The sequence below is a fragment of the Homo sapiens genome, chromosome 21 (assembly GCF_000001405.40).
Source record: "Homo sapiens chromosome 21, GRCh38.p14 Primary Assembly".
Taxonomy (NCBI): domain Eukaryota; kingdom Metazoa; phylum Chordata; class Mammalia; order Primates; family Hominidae; genus Homo; species Homo sapiens.
Window position 1 is genome coordinate 39,845,020 of NC_000021.9, and position 16,100 is coordinate 39,861,119.

Consider the following 16,100-nt stretch of genomic DNA (forward strand, 5'->3'; position numbering starts at 1 on the left):
GAGGATGCCTTTGGGACCAACAGTTGTGTGGGATAAGGCCTGGGATGGTCTCTAACCCAGGAGACACCCTCAGTATGGTGCTGGGTCTGTGGAGATATGAGCGCTTGGGAAAAGGCTGTAGCCCTTGCTTCTCTGAGGATGTAGTGGTGGCGATGGAGGAGGAGGAGGAGGAGAGGACATTTGAGGACAGGAGGACCAGGCCTGGGATGATCTCTAACCCAGGAGACACCCTCAGTCTGGTGCTGGGTCTGTGGAGTTATGAGCGCTTGGGAAAAGGCTGTAGCCCTTGCTTCTCTGAGGATGTAGTGGTGGCGATGGAGGAGGGGGAGGAGGAGAGGACATTTGAGGACAGGAGGACCAGGCCAGGGATGGGATCCACACTGAGGGCACCACTCACGTACACAGAGGCCCTGGTCTGTTTAGAACTCTTGTCCCCTCCTTCTGAGGAATGAGCATCTTTGACAATAGTGCGTTGGTGCTGTCTTTTGCTTCAACATTTGCAAAACTTGCTCCTCAACCCCTTGGCCTGCAAGGTTGGAGTCCTGAGGAGTTTTTGGTTCTGTTACTATGAACTGTGTTTGTGGGCCCGTGGAGGAGCTGAAAGCTCAACCTACACTGGGGTCTTTCAAATGAATTTTCTTTTCCTTTCTGTATTTGACCCAGGTTTTAATTTATTCATGGCAGATGACCTCACAGCATGTTGCCCATCTGGCAGAGCTACCTTGGAGCAATTTTAATCCGCGGAGCTTAAAGCCTTTTGATCTCCCTCATACTTTCCATTCTCAGAGGCTGAGTAATTCAAGTAAGACGTACCAGTTCAATTTTCCTCCCAGGGAAAGAAAGGAAATGACCTTTCTGGAAAAAAGTAGGAGAATATCTCAGAGGGAGGTTTTGGGGAGAAAAAAATCACAAGGTTACAAATAACTCAACAAGGGCAGTAGAAAATCATTGTCCTCCACCACAAAGCTCTGCCAACATGATGACTGTAAAGTCACGATGGCAAGAGAACCCTTTCTTTCCCCTTCCTGGGAACAATTTTATTTGACCTCTAGACACTTTTTGCGAGTGGCAAAAATCCATCTGGACTTAGAGGTGAGCAGCAGAAGCTATTTCCACCTGCATTCGGAAAGCCAAGCTCTATGGGGACAGGGCAGGAGCAAGCTGAGAAAGACATTCCTGTGTAGAGTTCCAAAGTCTTCCAAAAATGACCAAGACCAACCAAGAGCCTGCGGACACCTTCCCCTTCTGCGGGGGTCTGATGCCCTTCCTTTCAAAGATGTTAATAATTCAGTCCACAGATGGGCCGCTGTCTTATGCGAAATAACTTGCACTCCTTAAATCCAGAGCAGCGGCAGGCAGGTGTTGGGTGTGGCTGCCCTTGCACCCAAGTTTTCCAAAATAAGAAGAGAAGAGTGTTGGCAAAGGTATATTTTTTATCTTCACCCCTTTTCTCAACTTCAAGAAATAATTATTGAGGCCTTTTAAAAACACATTAATTCCCTTGTCTGAATAGAGATTGAAATTTGTTAACTGATAATTAATGTCTCTTTACCTTTTAATTAAAAGTTAACTGCTAGTGGAAAGTGCCAAGGATACTCCTTGGGCTGTGCCCAGGCCGTTCGTGCACTCTGTGTTTTGCTGGCCTGCTGGGGCTCAGAACTGGAGGCAGTGGAGGGTCTCAGGGTGGTGTATGTATGCATGGGACAGGTTAGGGACTGGTGGAGCTTGAAATAAAAGCCATTTCTTTTATGTAAAATTCACGGTAAGGCTGAAACAGTTAAATATGAATACCACCCCAAAGTCAACCACCCTGCCAATTACCAATCCCTGTCCGCCACCTCCTGCTTGCTGGAGACCAAGGCTTTGTGTTGTCTTTGGGGGACGATGGCTGAGAATCGCTTTCTCCAGTGTCTTCTGTAAGCAGAAGACTGCTTGGCCACCAGCTCTACCGCTCCATTGGGATGATGCCTCCTTTTGTCCTTCCTATTGTCACTTAACCACCTTTCTTTGAACTGTCACAGATGGTGCTTAATTAAAATTTCCCCCAAGGATACTTTCTTAGCACTATCGTTTCTACCTTAGTTAATGCCATGTGCTATATTCTGTCCAAAGTTGAGGTGGGGTGGGGATACCGTGCTCTTAGGTAGAAGTTATTTTTTCATTGTATTCATTGCATAGTCTGAGTTTAATTTGCATCCCTGTAGGATTCATATTTATTGAGCACTTACTATGTGCTAGAGCCCTTGAGTGTTATGTGAGCCATATGAAATAAGATATTCAACTGTTTGTCCTACAGATCCAGACATTTCATATGGCTCAATCTAACATCTGATTTCACTTAATCCTTACAATAAGTCTATGGGAGAGGTGCCATTGAATTCATTTTTTGGATGGTGAGGAGCCGTGGTCCATGGATGTGAAGGTATTTCTAAGGCTGCATGGTTAGGAGGCCGGCAGAGGCCATTGTCTGATGCTAAATCGCTTGTACTCTTTTGTATCTTGCTCTGGGTCTCAGGACCCTCACTGTGAATTTCAAAAGGCTTGGACTAAAACCCAGTGCTTTTCAATAAGATGCAGTCTTGTTCTCTGAGGAGGCATGTGACATAAAGGTGGGTGGTTTAGTGTCATGAAGACTGGGGAGGAGACCCTTTGGCTTATAGTAGGTGGGGTAGAGGGTAGAAGCCCCCTGCAGTGTGAGTCAGACTGACTGATGACCAAGCATTTTGCTCCAAATGCCTTTTGCTTCCTGTTTAGAAACATGGGCCCACATGAACCCCACATTTCTTCAGACAGTGGAATCCAATCACTCAGCCTTCAATAAATCCCAACAGACGAGGGCGGTACTTTGCTTCGATGGCTGCCTGGTGGGATGACCTGCCCCTTTTGGGAACATGCTGGCCCCGCCCGGCTTAGGACTGGCTCCTGGGCCATGATTCTGTTGTGTGCTCACATCCCCCAGGTGGGGATGATCCAGCCGTGGGTGGGCACCTGGCCTAGCTGGGCTGTGGGAAATCTGACCACGTGCACACATGGGCCCTACCACATGTGAACTCAGGGGCTGTGGATGGTCATCGTCTACCTACCCTGTGGCCTTGAGGGACTGAGAAGGCCAGTTTGCAAAGAGAGAGGGTGGAAGCTCACCATTGATTCCTCCTGGTTTCCCAGGGGCCTTCCTCGTGGGTCACCTGACTTCCTGTCCTTGGCTTCCATGAACCAGCCCTGTCTCCTTGCAACCCCTCCTCCTCTTTGGCTTAAGCCTGTTGGGAATGTTTGCTGTTTTTTGAAACTAGAATAAGCCTAAGCAAGATAACTCTATCAGGTCTACCCTTGCACGAGTATAAGAGAAATGTGGAAAATGAACCACACTTCAGAGCCCCTTTAGAAGATAAAAAGTGAAACTTAATGCAAATGTGAAGATGCTCATCTTAGACTCCACAGGAGATTAATATTTTTAGAGTAGAAAACTTTAGCTGTCATTGTTCAAGATGAATTTTCCATAATTATGAAGGCAAATTATCTGTGAATCTGGAAGCTATCATTATTTAAAACAAGTTCAATCAGACAATTTCCTGGTTTCCCAAATTTTACGATTTTTTTCTTGCAACCCTTTTTTGAAATTGGTCTTGTCATTTGTCTTGAAATGCAAACAATATTTACCTGTTGTGCAGCTAGTTTTAATAAAATGGAAATGCATCATCAGAACTGAAATTCATTTTGAAGTAAGAACCTGGGTGCTTTCTTACTTAATAGTTATGTATTAGATAACTATTACCTATGAATGCTTGTCAATTTTGTGTATTTTTCTTGGGCAAGAAGAGCAGCTATTTTCCTTGTATGCAGATTGTCATAGCTTAAATGTTCCAGCTTAATTATCTCCAAGGCTTTATCTTTGGAAAAGTCACTGAACTACTTGGAAATAATGGTTTCAGCATCGACTAATAAAATTATACATGAAAAAATTTATCTTCTGATGCTGAAAGGAATCATGACAGCATCAGACATTTACTCTACTCTTCTTTTATTTTTATAATTGTAAGTATTAGATCCCATCATCTTGAAAAAGTAATACACTTAATTTATGAGGAAACAAATGGACTGAGTCTGTTGCACAATGAGAACCAGATGCTCAACTCCTCAAACAAGTAGGAAAATTCTTTGAGATTTGAGAATTTCCTGAAATATTTTTGCCAGAGTTGACTTTCAAGGTGAATCATCCATAGTCAGATAACTCGGAGCGCTTGGCAACCATAGCCCGGCCCCTGCAGAGCCCTGCTGTACCTCGGGTCTCGGTCTCAGCTCTTCATATCTCGATCCACTTCATTCATTCAGTCATTTGCTCACACCTCTGGGGGCCGAGGGAAGGGTTTGTTCAGTCGAGTCAGATTTCTTGTGGTCCAAAGCCTCATGTTGGCAGTGTATATGTGTGTGTCTGTATGTGTGTGCCTGTGTGTGTGTGTATGTGTGTGGGGCGTGTGTGTGTGTGGGGGCATGTGTGTGTGTGTGTGTGTGTGTGTGTGTGTGAGAGAGAGAGAGTTGGAAGGCAGGGGAATGGATTGGTTGGGAAGTAGTCTGTGCTGGCAGCTCTGTGTGCCCAGACACCCCGATACATCCATGTCTATGCAAAGACCATCTCTCAAGCACCAGGCCTTTTAGCGGCTGCTATGGTAGCCTCACTCTTTCATTTCTGAGTTGTGGGGCTTGGGCACTGTGCTCCCCACACGTGTCCATGTGCTGATCACTGGAACCTGAGGATGTGGGGCCTTACATGGTGAAAAGGGACTATGGAGGCATGATTAAGTTAGGGATTTTGTGATGAGAAGATTTTCTGAATTATCTCGGTGGGCCCACTGTAGTTACAAGGGTCCTTAAGATGGAAGAGGGGACAGGAGGGTGAGAGAAGGGGATGAGACAGCCGAGGCAGATGTGGGAGTGACACCGGGCACAAACCCAGGAAAGACCAGGGACATAGATTCTCTCCTGCAACCTCCACAAGGAATGCAGTCCCCCTGACACATTTTAGGCTGTTGACATCTGGAACTAAGAGATATGGGATTTGTGTTGTTTTAAGGCACGAAGTTTGCAGTGAATTGTTACAGCAGCAATGAGAAATCAATACAGACAGTCCACTAAACCTCAGCTCATTTTGTATTTAAAAATGGGGCTAATTATGCCCACATCATGATGGGATGAAGTGTTGTAAGGCTTGCGAACATGCTTTAGAAACTGAAACAACATACTTGGCAGTGGAAACTTTTATCGTGTGATCTTGTGATCTTTCTTTGATGCCAAGGGGCCATCAGGTATAGCCCTGGAGCCAAATCATGGGGCATTGATCACTTGATTTGTGTTTTTTGTGCCAATGCCATCCCATTGTTCAGTGGGGCTTACTGTATGTTCAAACAGCCAGCAGCCAAGGACAAGGGCAAACACACACACACAAAGATGACAGAGGCTGAGACAGGCTGGCCAGGCAGAATCGCACTGTGGGGAGCTGAGGCTTTGGAGCAGACTGCCTGGACCTGCAGCTCAGCCTCCAGCTGCCAGCCCTGGCTGTGGGCAGTGCTTTCCAGTTGCCAGCCTTGGTTTCCTGAATAAGAAGTGCTGAGTACAGTGGCTGCTCCATAGGAATTGACAATTGTTATTACCCACCCTGCATACATCCCCTGCTCCAGGGCACGACCTGTCATTCCCACCCTGGTCCAAGGTTTTCAGCACCCGCCTTCTCCCAGTTCTGCTGAGCTTGAGGCTGTGGAGGTGGCTGGCTGGTGGGGGACGGAACAGGGCCACCAGCTTCTCCAGGGGAAAGGCTATCCTCTTAGTGCGCATTGCAGATGTGAAAAAGAAATGCCATCTTCCCAAATAAAATTAAATACAACCCAGAGGCCCCAGGACTGACCCTGGAAGGAGAATTAAGCTTTCTTTCCTTTTCCAGAGGACTCCGTCTTCCCTTGAGGTCTCTGTCTGGAACCCAGCTGCCCGTGTGGGCCTTTGGGTACATCGTTCCCTCTCTGCCATCTGTAGAAAAAAATCATCCTTTCCTGCAATCTCTGCTGCTTTGGCAGGAAATTCATGTGCAAAAGACATCTAAAATGGCTGGATGGCATCACAAGGGGAATCAACCCAGAAGGAACAGGATCCTAAACATTTGCATCTCAAGAGAGGGCTGGCAGCGGAGGCTCGCAGGGCCTGTCCTGTTTCCCGTGGAGTTTGACCTCATCTATTCTGGCTGTTAGACTGTGATGAAGATGCAGACACTCCAGGATTCAGCAGCCTGGGGCTTAAAAAATAATGTCACGCTCCCTTGCAATGATCGGTTTTGGTCACTTCATCCCTCTTGGCCTCGGGGCTGGAAATGAACAGCTGTCCAAGAGACCTCCAGGAATCCCTGGGAGTCTCAGAAGGGTGGCTCCTGGGCTCATGCATGAGTGAGTTCTTGTGTCTCTTCTCTCTTTCCTCTCTGGCTCTGGCTCATTCTTATCCACAGCTGCTGCCTGCCAGTCATGTGCCACAGGTTCACCATGGCCAACTGCCACCATGAAAAGCAGCATCCAAGCTGAGGAGCTCTCTTGGGATGTGCTCAGGGAATCAGACCCTCCAGGTGCTGCCTCCTTCCCTTGGCAGGAACAGACCCTGCTCTGGTTCTGAGCTACTCTCTGCCAGGCAGCTCCCAAAGCAGCACTGCTCTGCATTCAGCCTTGCTACGTCTCCTTCAGATGGGCGCACTAGATACTGAGTGATGATCATGCCTTGTCTAGGATCTCACCAAGACAGTTCATGAAAGAGACAGTGCAGCTCATGGAGGAGATGGTGCAGCTCACAGAGAGGATGGTGCCATCATGGAAAGCATGGGGCAGTCATGGAGATGACGGAGTAGCTCATGGAGAAGATAATGCCATCATGGAAGGCATAGTGCAGTCATGGAGATGATGGTGCAGCTCATGGAGAAGATGGTGCCATCATGAAAGGCATGGTGCAATCATGGAGTAGACAGTGCAGCTGGGCCAAGATTCTCCCTGACTAAGCTCTTCTCAGGCACCTCTGAGCCGTCGTCTTAACTAGGCCTCCAGCTTGGCTTGTGAAAACTGCAGACTCTCAGCACAAATGATTTGCCTCCTACATTAAGAGACTTAAATAAACACTTGCATGGCTGTGTTTATTTAAACAGCTCAAGGCTGTGTCCCTGGGATGACAATGACTCCAGCCCCTAAAATTCCTGCTTGTGAAAGCTCATTGCTGACAGAAGGATCTACCATTTGTTCCAGCCAACACCTGGTGGCAGGCAGATAGGCCCTGAGCCCCATTTAAGAGCAGTTCCTTTAGAAAGCTTGCAATTGTAAATCTTTTCTCTGCCCATTTGAGATGTAAATCTTCTACCACCTAGAACTGTCTTCTCAAGGACCTGTGAGCTGACTCACTGAAATGCAAACATTCAGGGAGATAACTCCACTCCTGTCCCCATGCGATGGCGAGGCCCTGACTTTGGTGGGCACCTTGCTCTTATTTGCACCACCACCTCCTGTCCTAAAGACATGAGACGTTTGTCTCTCCTCTGGATAAGTGCCTATTAACCAACCCAGGTGTCCTGGTCACATGAACCAGTCCAGCCTAGCACCTGGCACTGCCTTTCCCTCAGCACACTCCAGTCTGTAAAAGTCTCCTTATGGTTGTTTTGGCAAAGTTGAGCTTAGTTAATGCTAGACCCCTTCTCTACTGCAATAGTTACTGCTGAATAAAGTCTATCCTTACCACTTTAACTAGTGTTGGGCTTTGTTTCTCTTTCATAAGCTCATGGAGAAGACAATGCAGTTCCATCAAGTTTCTGGCTCTTACACTGCTAACAGTCAGCTCTGGGGTCCCTGAGAGGGACAGACTCACACCACCCGCTTCATCCAGGTGCCGTCAACGTTCCTGGTTCCTCTTTGGTTCCTCCTCACTGCAAGAAGTCTCACTCCACCTGAAGCCTCAAATCAGAGCCCCTTCACATGCGGATACGGTGAACAGATCTTAGCCATCGTGGGATCAGGAGCTCAGGAGTTTGAGATCAGACTTGACAACATAGTGAGACCTTATCTCACTATGTTCCTGAAGTCAGGGACTAGGGATCCAGTCTTTTGTTATCTCCTTGTTTCCCATGCTTCTGGGTCCAGAGAGAGAGAGATTCCCTTTTGTCTGTTTTGGGAATATACAGTCTGGGTTTCCTGACTTCCTGGGCGAGTGACCCCAGAGCTATCCTGGCACAATACGATAACCATCCCCCAGAGAGACAGGATGGCTCCAGCCACAGATGGGTGACTCATCCCTGGCAGGTGTCCCCGGGCCAGGGCTTGGGCAGCCAGTACCAGTGCCCGTGGATCCCCTCCCCACCGCCATTAACTTACTAGTTCAGCCCAGCTTTCTCCCGTAAGAATTCTCCATGCCTAGTAGGACGATCCAGGGCGTCATAAGATGCAGCTCTTCTTCTTCAGACTGAGGCCCCTGATTACCTTACTTCTCTCCCTCGCTGTGCAACCTGGTCTCCTGCCTCGCAGGTGCTGACCTAGCTGTCTCTTCCTAACTCCTCTAATCTGATGCATGATTTGCTTACTCACAATCTAATATCTTTTCTGTAACTTGTCTCTGGGCCTCTTTCCCTCTTCTGCACTCAGTGATTCTTGGGGAGACCTTTTGGGTAATCTCCCCTGACTCTTCTCCTCTATGTCTTTTTTTCTTTTCTTTTGTTTTTTTCTTCTTCTTTTTTTTTTTTTTTTTGTTGAGACAGGGTCTTTCTGCGTAGCCCAGGCTGGAGTGCAGTGGCATGATCATGGCTCACTGCAGCCTTGACCTCCCGGGCTCAAGAGCTCCTCCCGCCTCAGCCTCCTGAGTAGCTGAGACTGCAGGTGTGCGCCACCGCACCCTGCTAATTTTTTTAAATTTTTAGTAGAGATAAGGTCTCACTATGTTGCCCAGGTTGGTCTCAAACTCCTGAGCTCAAATGATCCTCCTGCCTTAGCCTCCCAAAGCGCTGGATTTACGGGCATGCGCCACTACACCCAGCCTTGTTTCTATGTCTTGACCCCACTCTCCCATCAGTCTCTTCTTGTCCCTGGTTCTCTCAATGCAAATTTTCCACACAAAGAGTGCACTCACCTTCCACAGCCTCTCCTCCCTCTCCACTACAGAACCCTTCCCTTCTCCCAAAGTGAATGTCCCTTCCTGCAGCTATTTATCCATCTCTGGTCCTCTGGACTGGTATTCTTGAATGTTTCTGCCCCACTCCTATGGTAGTTCTAGTTTTTTATGAAGTTTCAGGTATTTTTTCTGTGACCCTAGAGATCAGGGATGCCAGGACCTCAAAGAATGATATGTCCCTATGGACAATATGAAAGGCATTACAATTACTGTTAAAGGATATGTGTTTAATGCAGAGTGGACAGTGAGCTTGTCCACACCCGAATGTCTTGGGTAGGGATGATGCTATAGATGACATTCTGGCTTTTGGAATATTCAGGCCAAAGTAGGGTCATTGAATTAAATGTTGTAACCCCGAATATCTTTGGATGAAATTCACAGGAACGTGGTTGCAAAAGCTATTTTTTAGAAGAGAAATAAAAGTGGTTTTTTTTGGCCAATTTCTCTTTACGATGAAAATGCTTTTGCCTTTTGGGATCCAAATATATGCTGGCATTTATGCATTTTTCAGCTTCGTTCTCCACAGCTGTGCCTTGGTTGAAACAGCTCATGCATGTGGCTGGTAACCCTGGCGCCGCCCTGGTGGAAACCTTGCCACACAGTAGGACTTGTAGGTCCCCACCTCGCTGCAGCTTAATTAGGGAATTACATTTTTCTGAAGACTTTTGGTTGACTGAATTTAATAGACTGAGGAGTTTTTTAATGTTATTATATTGGTAATAAGTTCTTCAGTATGATTTAATATTTGAAATTATTTAAAGCAAGGATTCATATTAACAGGAATGAACTTATCACCTTTTATGCTAATGTTTTACGGTCTTGAAATAACTGAAATGATATGAATCTTTTGCAGGACATCAATTCTGGATATCGTTTTTGCTTTCATTTGGAAAGATGTTGGCATAGTTTCACAGTATTTTATTGACGAAAGCATTAAGTCTACATAGGAGTAACTATTAATAGTTCTTCTTTTGTGACCCATTTGAATGCTGTACAATTTCACCCAGTAGCCACTGGGAGTGTACTGTGGTGGGTTTACTTTACATCTACCCCTTTCTCTAGCTTCCACCCATAACACACAAACATAGGCACACACGTACACACTTTTGTCTTGTTTGATTGTCTGACATAATTCTTAATACAGGAAAATGACCATTTTTGAGTATGGAAGACAAATGGTTTCTACCATATTGATATATCCAAGGTGGTGGGGGAAAACCATGATGAAACTTTTTTTTTTTTCCCCCAGAGACAGGGTCTCATTCTGTCACCCAGGCTGGAGTGCATCTGCTCTATGTCCAGGATCATAGAGCAGAGGCATAGGAGGGAGGGTCTAGTAATTACATCTTCTTTGCCTTTAGTTTCTATGAAATAAATGGATTGTGGTTTTTACCTTTTTTTTTTTTTGCATGCCTAGTAATTTTGGATGCCAGATGTGAATTTCATATTTTGGGGTACTAAATTTTATCATATTCCCTTAAAGAGTGTTGGATTACTTACTTTTCTTGCATGCAACTAAGTAACCTTTGGACAAGTCTGATTCTGCTGAGGTTTGATCTGAGGCTTTGTCATGGTGAGTCAAAGACTACGTTAATTCTAATAAGAAGACGGGTGGAGCCTCTACCCCATGCCTGAGTGTTTTGAGGTTGCTTCTTTTTGGCTGGTGGGAAGATGAGTGATTCCAATTCCATGGGAGCTCTGGGAATTATTCATGGAGCTTTTTCTTGAGCTTGGATGGTTTCCTTCATTTTGGCTTCAGGGAATTTTCTCGCACAGATCGGTATTCAAAGACTCAAGGAAATGCTCTGAAGACCTCTGCAGCTCTCTCTCTGCAGCTCCCTTCTTTTTGCTATTGAGTCTTGCAAAATTAGTCTCCCTGGTGTCCCCTGGTGGAGGTGATGACCTCATTGCCTTTTCCAGATTTACATGGTATACCCACTCTAGTATGCCTCTGTCATACCTCTGTTGACATAGAGTGGGCCCGTGTTCCAGGTGATGCTACTCAGTGTCCTGTATCAGTGGGTCACACACGGAGCCTCAGGTGGTGCTGCTGCATTTGGATCGATAGAGGCTTGTGGATTGGAAAGGAAACGCACACTAGAATATGTGTCAATTCCAGTCAAGGTGGATTATTGCCTCTTCTGGGGTAGAAGGACTTTAATGACCTCAATTTGAAACCAAAAGCTGGTCTCCTTGAAAGCTGGTGCCATGTCAGGGGCTCAGACCTTCTGATCCTCCTTCCTGGCTGTGAAAGGAAGGGAGGTATTTTCCAGGTCACTGACCACATACCATGTACCTGGAGCCATGTTGCTCTCCTCTAGCAAAGATGCAGCAGATGCAGTTGGGGCTGCCACTCGACTGAGTTTGAAGCACTCCACTGACATCCTTCAGGCTGTCTGGTTTCTGTAGAGCCCACACTGGTGAATTAAATGAAGATGGGGTTCATCACCACCCCAGCTTCTTGTGGGTATGTAAGAGTGACCTTAATCTCTGCCATTTCATTGGGATGTGATATTACTTTTTATTTATTATTTTGGCTGGAGCAAGGACAGTTCAGAGCTTCTACTTAGCCTTCCCAACTAAGAACACTCTTATGCCACAAGCCATGAGTCTAATATGGATGTTCTGTCAACTGTCCAATACATCTATTTCCAGTCCATCCACTTTGTACCTGTGCCAGGATCCCATCTATACTCGACCCCTGGATGCCCCTTCTCTAACAGGAAGGCCAACGCTTTGGATCCCCCTTTCCACTTGGATTCTACAGTTAAAAATCTTCAAGATGTTTGAGTGTTCTCCTTCCCTGGTGCATTGTTACTCAAGGAGATGTCTATGGGTCCTTTTGAGGAAGAACTAGGAAAATTACTACTGCATACAGTAGGCTTGATGTTGGTAGATCCTTTCTCCTGGGGACTTGGCTTTCTGTCAATTGCTTCTGGATCTGAAAACTGGTTCAGATCTAAAAATAGAGCAAGGAATCTTGACTTCTTATTGAGATGTTGGCTCTCAGCCCCTTGATTGTCCATCTTTGGTTTCTTGTATAGATTTATAGATCTTTGTATAGGTGTGTTTGTATAGCTCAGGTTTTCTCAATCTTGGCACCATTAACATTTTGAGCCAGATCATTCTTTGCTGTCAGGGGCAGTCCTGAATACTGTAGGTGTAGTAGTCCATTCTCATGCTGCTATAAAGAAATACTCGAGACTGATATTTTATAAAGAAAAGAGGCTTAATTGACTCACAGTTCTGGATGAGTTGGGAGGCCTCAGGAAACTTACAATCATGGCAGAAGGCACCTCTTCACAGGGTGGCAGGAGAGAGAATGAGTGCCAAGCAAAGAGGGAAAAGCCCCTTATAAAACCATCAGATCTCATGAGCACTCACTCACTATCACAAGAACAGCATGGGGGTAACTGCCCCCAAGATTCAACTACCTCCCACCAGGTCCTTCCCATGACATGTGGGAATTAGGGGAACTACAATTCAAAATAAGATTTGGGTGGGGAAACAGCCAAACTATACCATGCCTCCCCTGGTCCCTCCCAAGTCTTATGTCCTTACATTTCAAAACACAATGATGCCTTTCCAACAGTTCCCCAGAGTCTTAACTCATTCCAGCATTAACCCAAAAGACCAAGTCCAAAGTCTCATCTGAGACAAGGCAAGTACCTTCTGCTTATGAGCCTGTAAAATCAAAAGCAAGTTAGTTACTTCCTAGATACAATGGAGGCACAGGCACTGGGTAAATATACCTGTTCCAAATTGGAGAAATTGGCTAAAACAAAGGGGCTACAGGTCCCATGCAAGTCTGAAATCCAATAGAGCAGTCATTAAAGTTTAAAGTTCCAAAATAATCTCCTTTGACTCCATGTGTCACATCCAGGTCACCTCGTTGCAGGAGGTGGACTCCCACAGCCTTGGGCAGCTCCACTCCTGTGGCTTTGTGGGGTACAGAACTTCCTCCCAGTTGCTTTCACAGACTGGGGTTGAGTGTCTGCAGCTTTTCCAAGTGCACAGTGCAAGCTGCTGGTGGATCTACTATTCTGGGGTCTGGAGGACAGTGGCTCTCTTCTCACAGCTCCACCAGGCAGTGCCCTGTGAGGACTCTGTGTGTGGGCTCTGGCCCCACATTGCCTTTCCACACTGCCATAGCAGAGATTCTCCATGAGGACTCTGCCCCTGCAGCAGATTTCTGTCTGGACATCCAGGTGTTTCCATACATCCTCTGAAATCTAGGTGGAGGTTCCCAAACCTCAGTTCTTGTCTTCTGTGTACCTGCATGACAGACACCAAGTGGAAGCTGCCAAGGCTGGGGGCTTGTGCCTCTGAAGCAATGACTCGAGCTCTACCTTGGCCCCTTTTAGACATGGCTGGAGCAACCGGTATACAAGACACCAAGTCTCGAGGCTGCACACAGCAGGGGGCGGCCCTGGACCCAGCTCAAGAAACCATTTTTCCCTCCTAGGCCTCTGGGTCTGTGATGGGAGGGGCTGCTGTGAGGGTCTCTGATATGCCCTGGAGACATTTTCCCCATTGTCTTGGCAATTAACATTTGGCTTCTAATTATTTATGCAAATTTCTGCAGCCAGCTTGAATTTCTCTCCAGAAACTGGGTTTTTCTTTTCTATTACATCACCAGTCTGCAAATTTTCCAAACTTTTTTGCTTTGTTTCTTCTTGAATGCTTTGCCGCTTAGAATTTTTTTCTGCCAAATACCCTAAATCATCTCTCAAGTTCGAAGTTCCACAGATCTCTAGGGTAGGGGTAAAATGCTGCCAGTCTCTTTGCTAAAGCATGACAAGAGTTACCTTAACTCCAGTTCCCAACAAGTTCCTCATCTCCATCTGAGACCCTCAGCCTGGACTTCATTGTCCATATCGCTACCAGCATTTTGGTCAAAGCCATTCAACAAGTCTCTAGGAAGTTCCAAATGTTCCCACATTTTCCTATCTTCTTCTGAGCCCTTCAAACTCTTTCAAACTCTGCCTGTTACCCAGTTCCAAAGTTGCTTCCACGTTTTCAGGTATCCTTATAGCAGCACTCCACTCCTGGTACCAATTTACTGTATTAGTCCGTTTTCACACTGCTATGAAGAAATATATCCAAGACTGGGTATTTTAAAAGAAAAGAGGTTTAATTGATTTGTAGTTCTGCATGGCTGGGGAGTCCTCAGGAAACTTACAATCATGGTGAAGGCACCTCTTCACAGGGCAGCAGGAGAGAGAATGAGTGCCAAGCAAAGGGGGAAAAGCCCCTTATAAAACCATCAGATCTCATGAGAACTCATTCACTATCCTGAGAACAGCATAGGGGTAACTACTCCCAAGATTCAACTACCTCCCACTGGGTCCCTCCCATGACATGTGGGAATTATGGGAACTACAATTCAAGATAAGATTTGGGTGGGGGCATAGCCAAAGCATATCAGCAGGATATTTAGCAGCATCCCAGCTCTCTACACGCTGGATATCATTTACGTCCTCTTAGTTCAGATGGTAATAACTGAAAATATTTTCCCTCAGCTGTGACAACAAAAATGTCTCCAGACATTGCCAGTGCCTCCCTAGGGAGAGAAGAGGAAATGCCCTGCTCCTCCTTTGGGAACCACAAGGGTAGATTGAGGGCTTTACTTGTTGGCTGCCCTCTGTCTTGTTGGTATGGGTGCTGTGTTCTATTAACATCTATTACCATAGCTTGGTGTAAGGCCAGCCTGCTGCCTGCCCTTTTATGATTATTGCACCCACCTTGCTTTTGATGGGTGATTGTTGCCACCCAGCCTCTATTATTTCTAGATCCTGCCATGCCTGTTGCTATCAGGGAGCCTGGTTCTGTAGTGGCTTCCCCTATGCCCAGTCCTGTCCTGCAGATGATGGACACCACTGTGTTACTCATTACTTTTGAGGTCCCTCTATTAGCACGTCCCTTGTTGCTTTGGTAAAGGCAATGCCCTCATCGCACTTTTCCAGACTTTCATGGTGTATCCACTGTGGCATGCTCTCAACTCTAGGCCCTTGGTTCCCACATCCACTTGTTGCCATGGCGGGTCTGGCATTTTGGCCTCAGTCAATATGGGCACCATCTTCTTCAATGTTCCAAAAGCCACCCTAGCAGCTTTTAGGTATCTTCTCCTGAGGTCTTTCCTAAAGTGTTAAGTCCTGTATCATCAGATAGTTTTCCTGTATCAATGAACTTTCTCTTGCCCAACTTCATTTTCTGCTCCTGCTCCTGCTCCTGCTAGTGCCTTCCTGCCTTGATCTGATGCTTAATTCCAGTCTTCTACACATTCTTTGTACATGTTGGCCAAGTCCTGAAGGTCCTTTGGGGAGAGCCCTTTCCTCCACTATCAGGCTTAGAACTCTTCCCCACAAGCTTATGGGTGATTCTAGCTTAGTCATGAGTTTGTTGGGCATGAGGGAAGGTGAGAATTCTCTTGGGATAGGTGTGTATTATCCTACCAGACAGAGACTCTGCATCATCTTCAAGCACCAGGGGCACTAGCCTTCGACAGGGAGAAGGCCAATCTTGCAAGCCCAGAGGCATCAGAGGGATCTGGGAATTTGAGATCTTCAAGCACACCCACCCATGACTCAGCATCCATTTCTGTTTCAATCAGGCCCTGACCTTGGCCCAGCACACCTGCTGACACTGAGGATTTAGATTTGTGTGGTGTTCTGCTAGGCTCATGATAAGGCTTGGGCCTTTCTTCAGGTTCCTCTGCCTGCAGCCCACAGGAAATAAGAGTCTTCTTTACTTTTATAAAATAAGCCAGAGCTTCCAAAATGGGCCTGGGTTTCATACTTAGCCTTGAGTTCCTAATGAATCACCCCCAGCCTTGCTTTATTTCTGTCTATAGCCTTGATTTCCGCAGCAGCAGCTAAATGATTTCATTGTCTTTATAACTACCCTTTCCCCCATATTTCTTGGCTATCTGA

The 16,100-nt window shown here is 46.3% G+C and overlaps 2 annotated features.

Moving 5' to 3' along the window:
* Nucleotides 302–1,501: an enhancer, noted in NCBI's record as "CDK7 strongly-dependent group 2 enhancer chr21:41217248-41218447 (GRCh37/hg19 assembly coordinates)". NCBI's record gives its function as "activates an origin of replication core promoter dependent on BRD2, BRD4, P300/CBP, MED14 and CDK7 cofactors, with strong dependence on CDK7, by STARR-seq in HCT116 cells {active_cell/tissue: HCT116}" and the evidence as "EXISTENCE:reporter gene assay evidence [ECO:0000049][PMID:35650434]".
* Nucleotides 7,042–7,543: an enhancer, noted in NCBI's record as "NANOG hESC enhancer chr21:41223988-41224489 (GRCh37/hg19 assembly coordinates)". NCBI's record gives its function as "activates a minimal SCP1, AML or CMV promoter by ChIP-STARR-seq in naive H9 embryonic stem cells {active_cell/tissue: H9 hESC(naive)}" and the evidence as "EXISTENCE:reporter gene assay evidence [ECO:0000049][PMID:30033119]".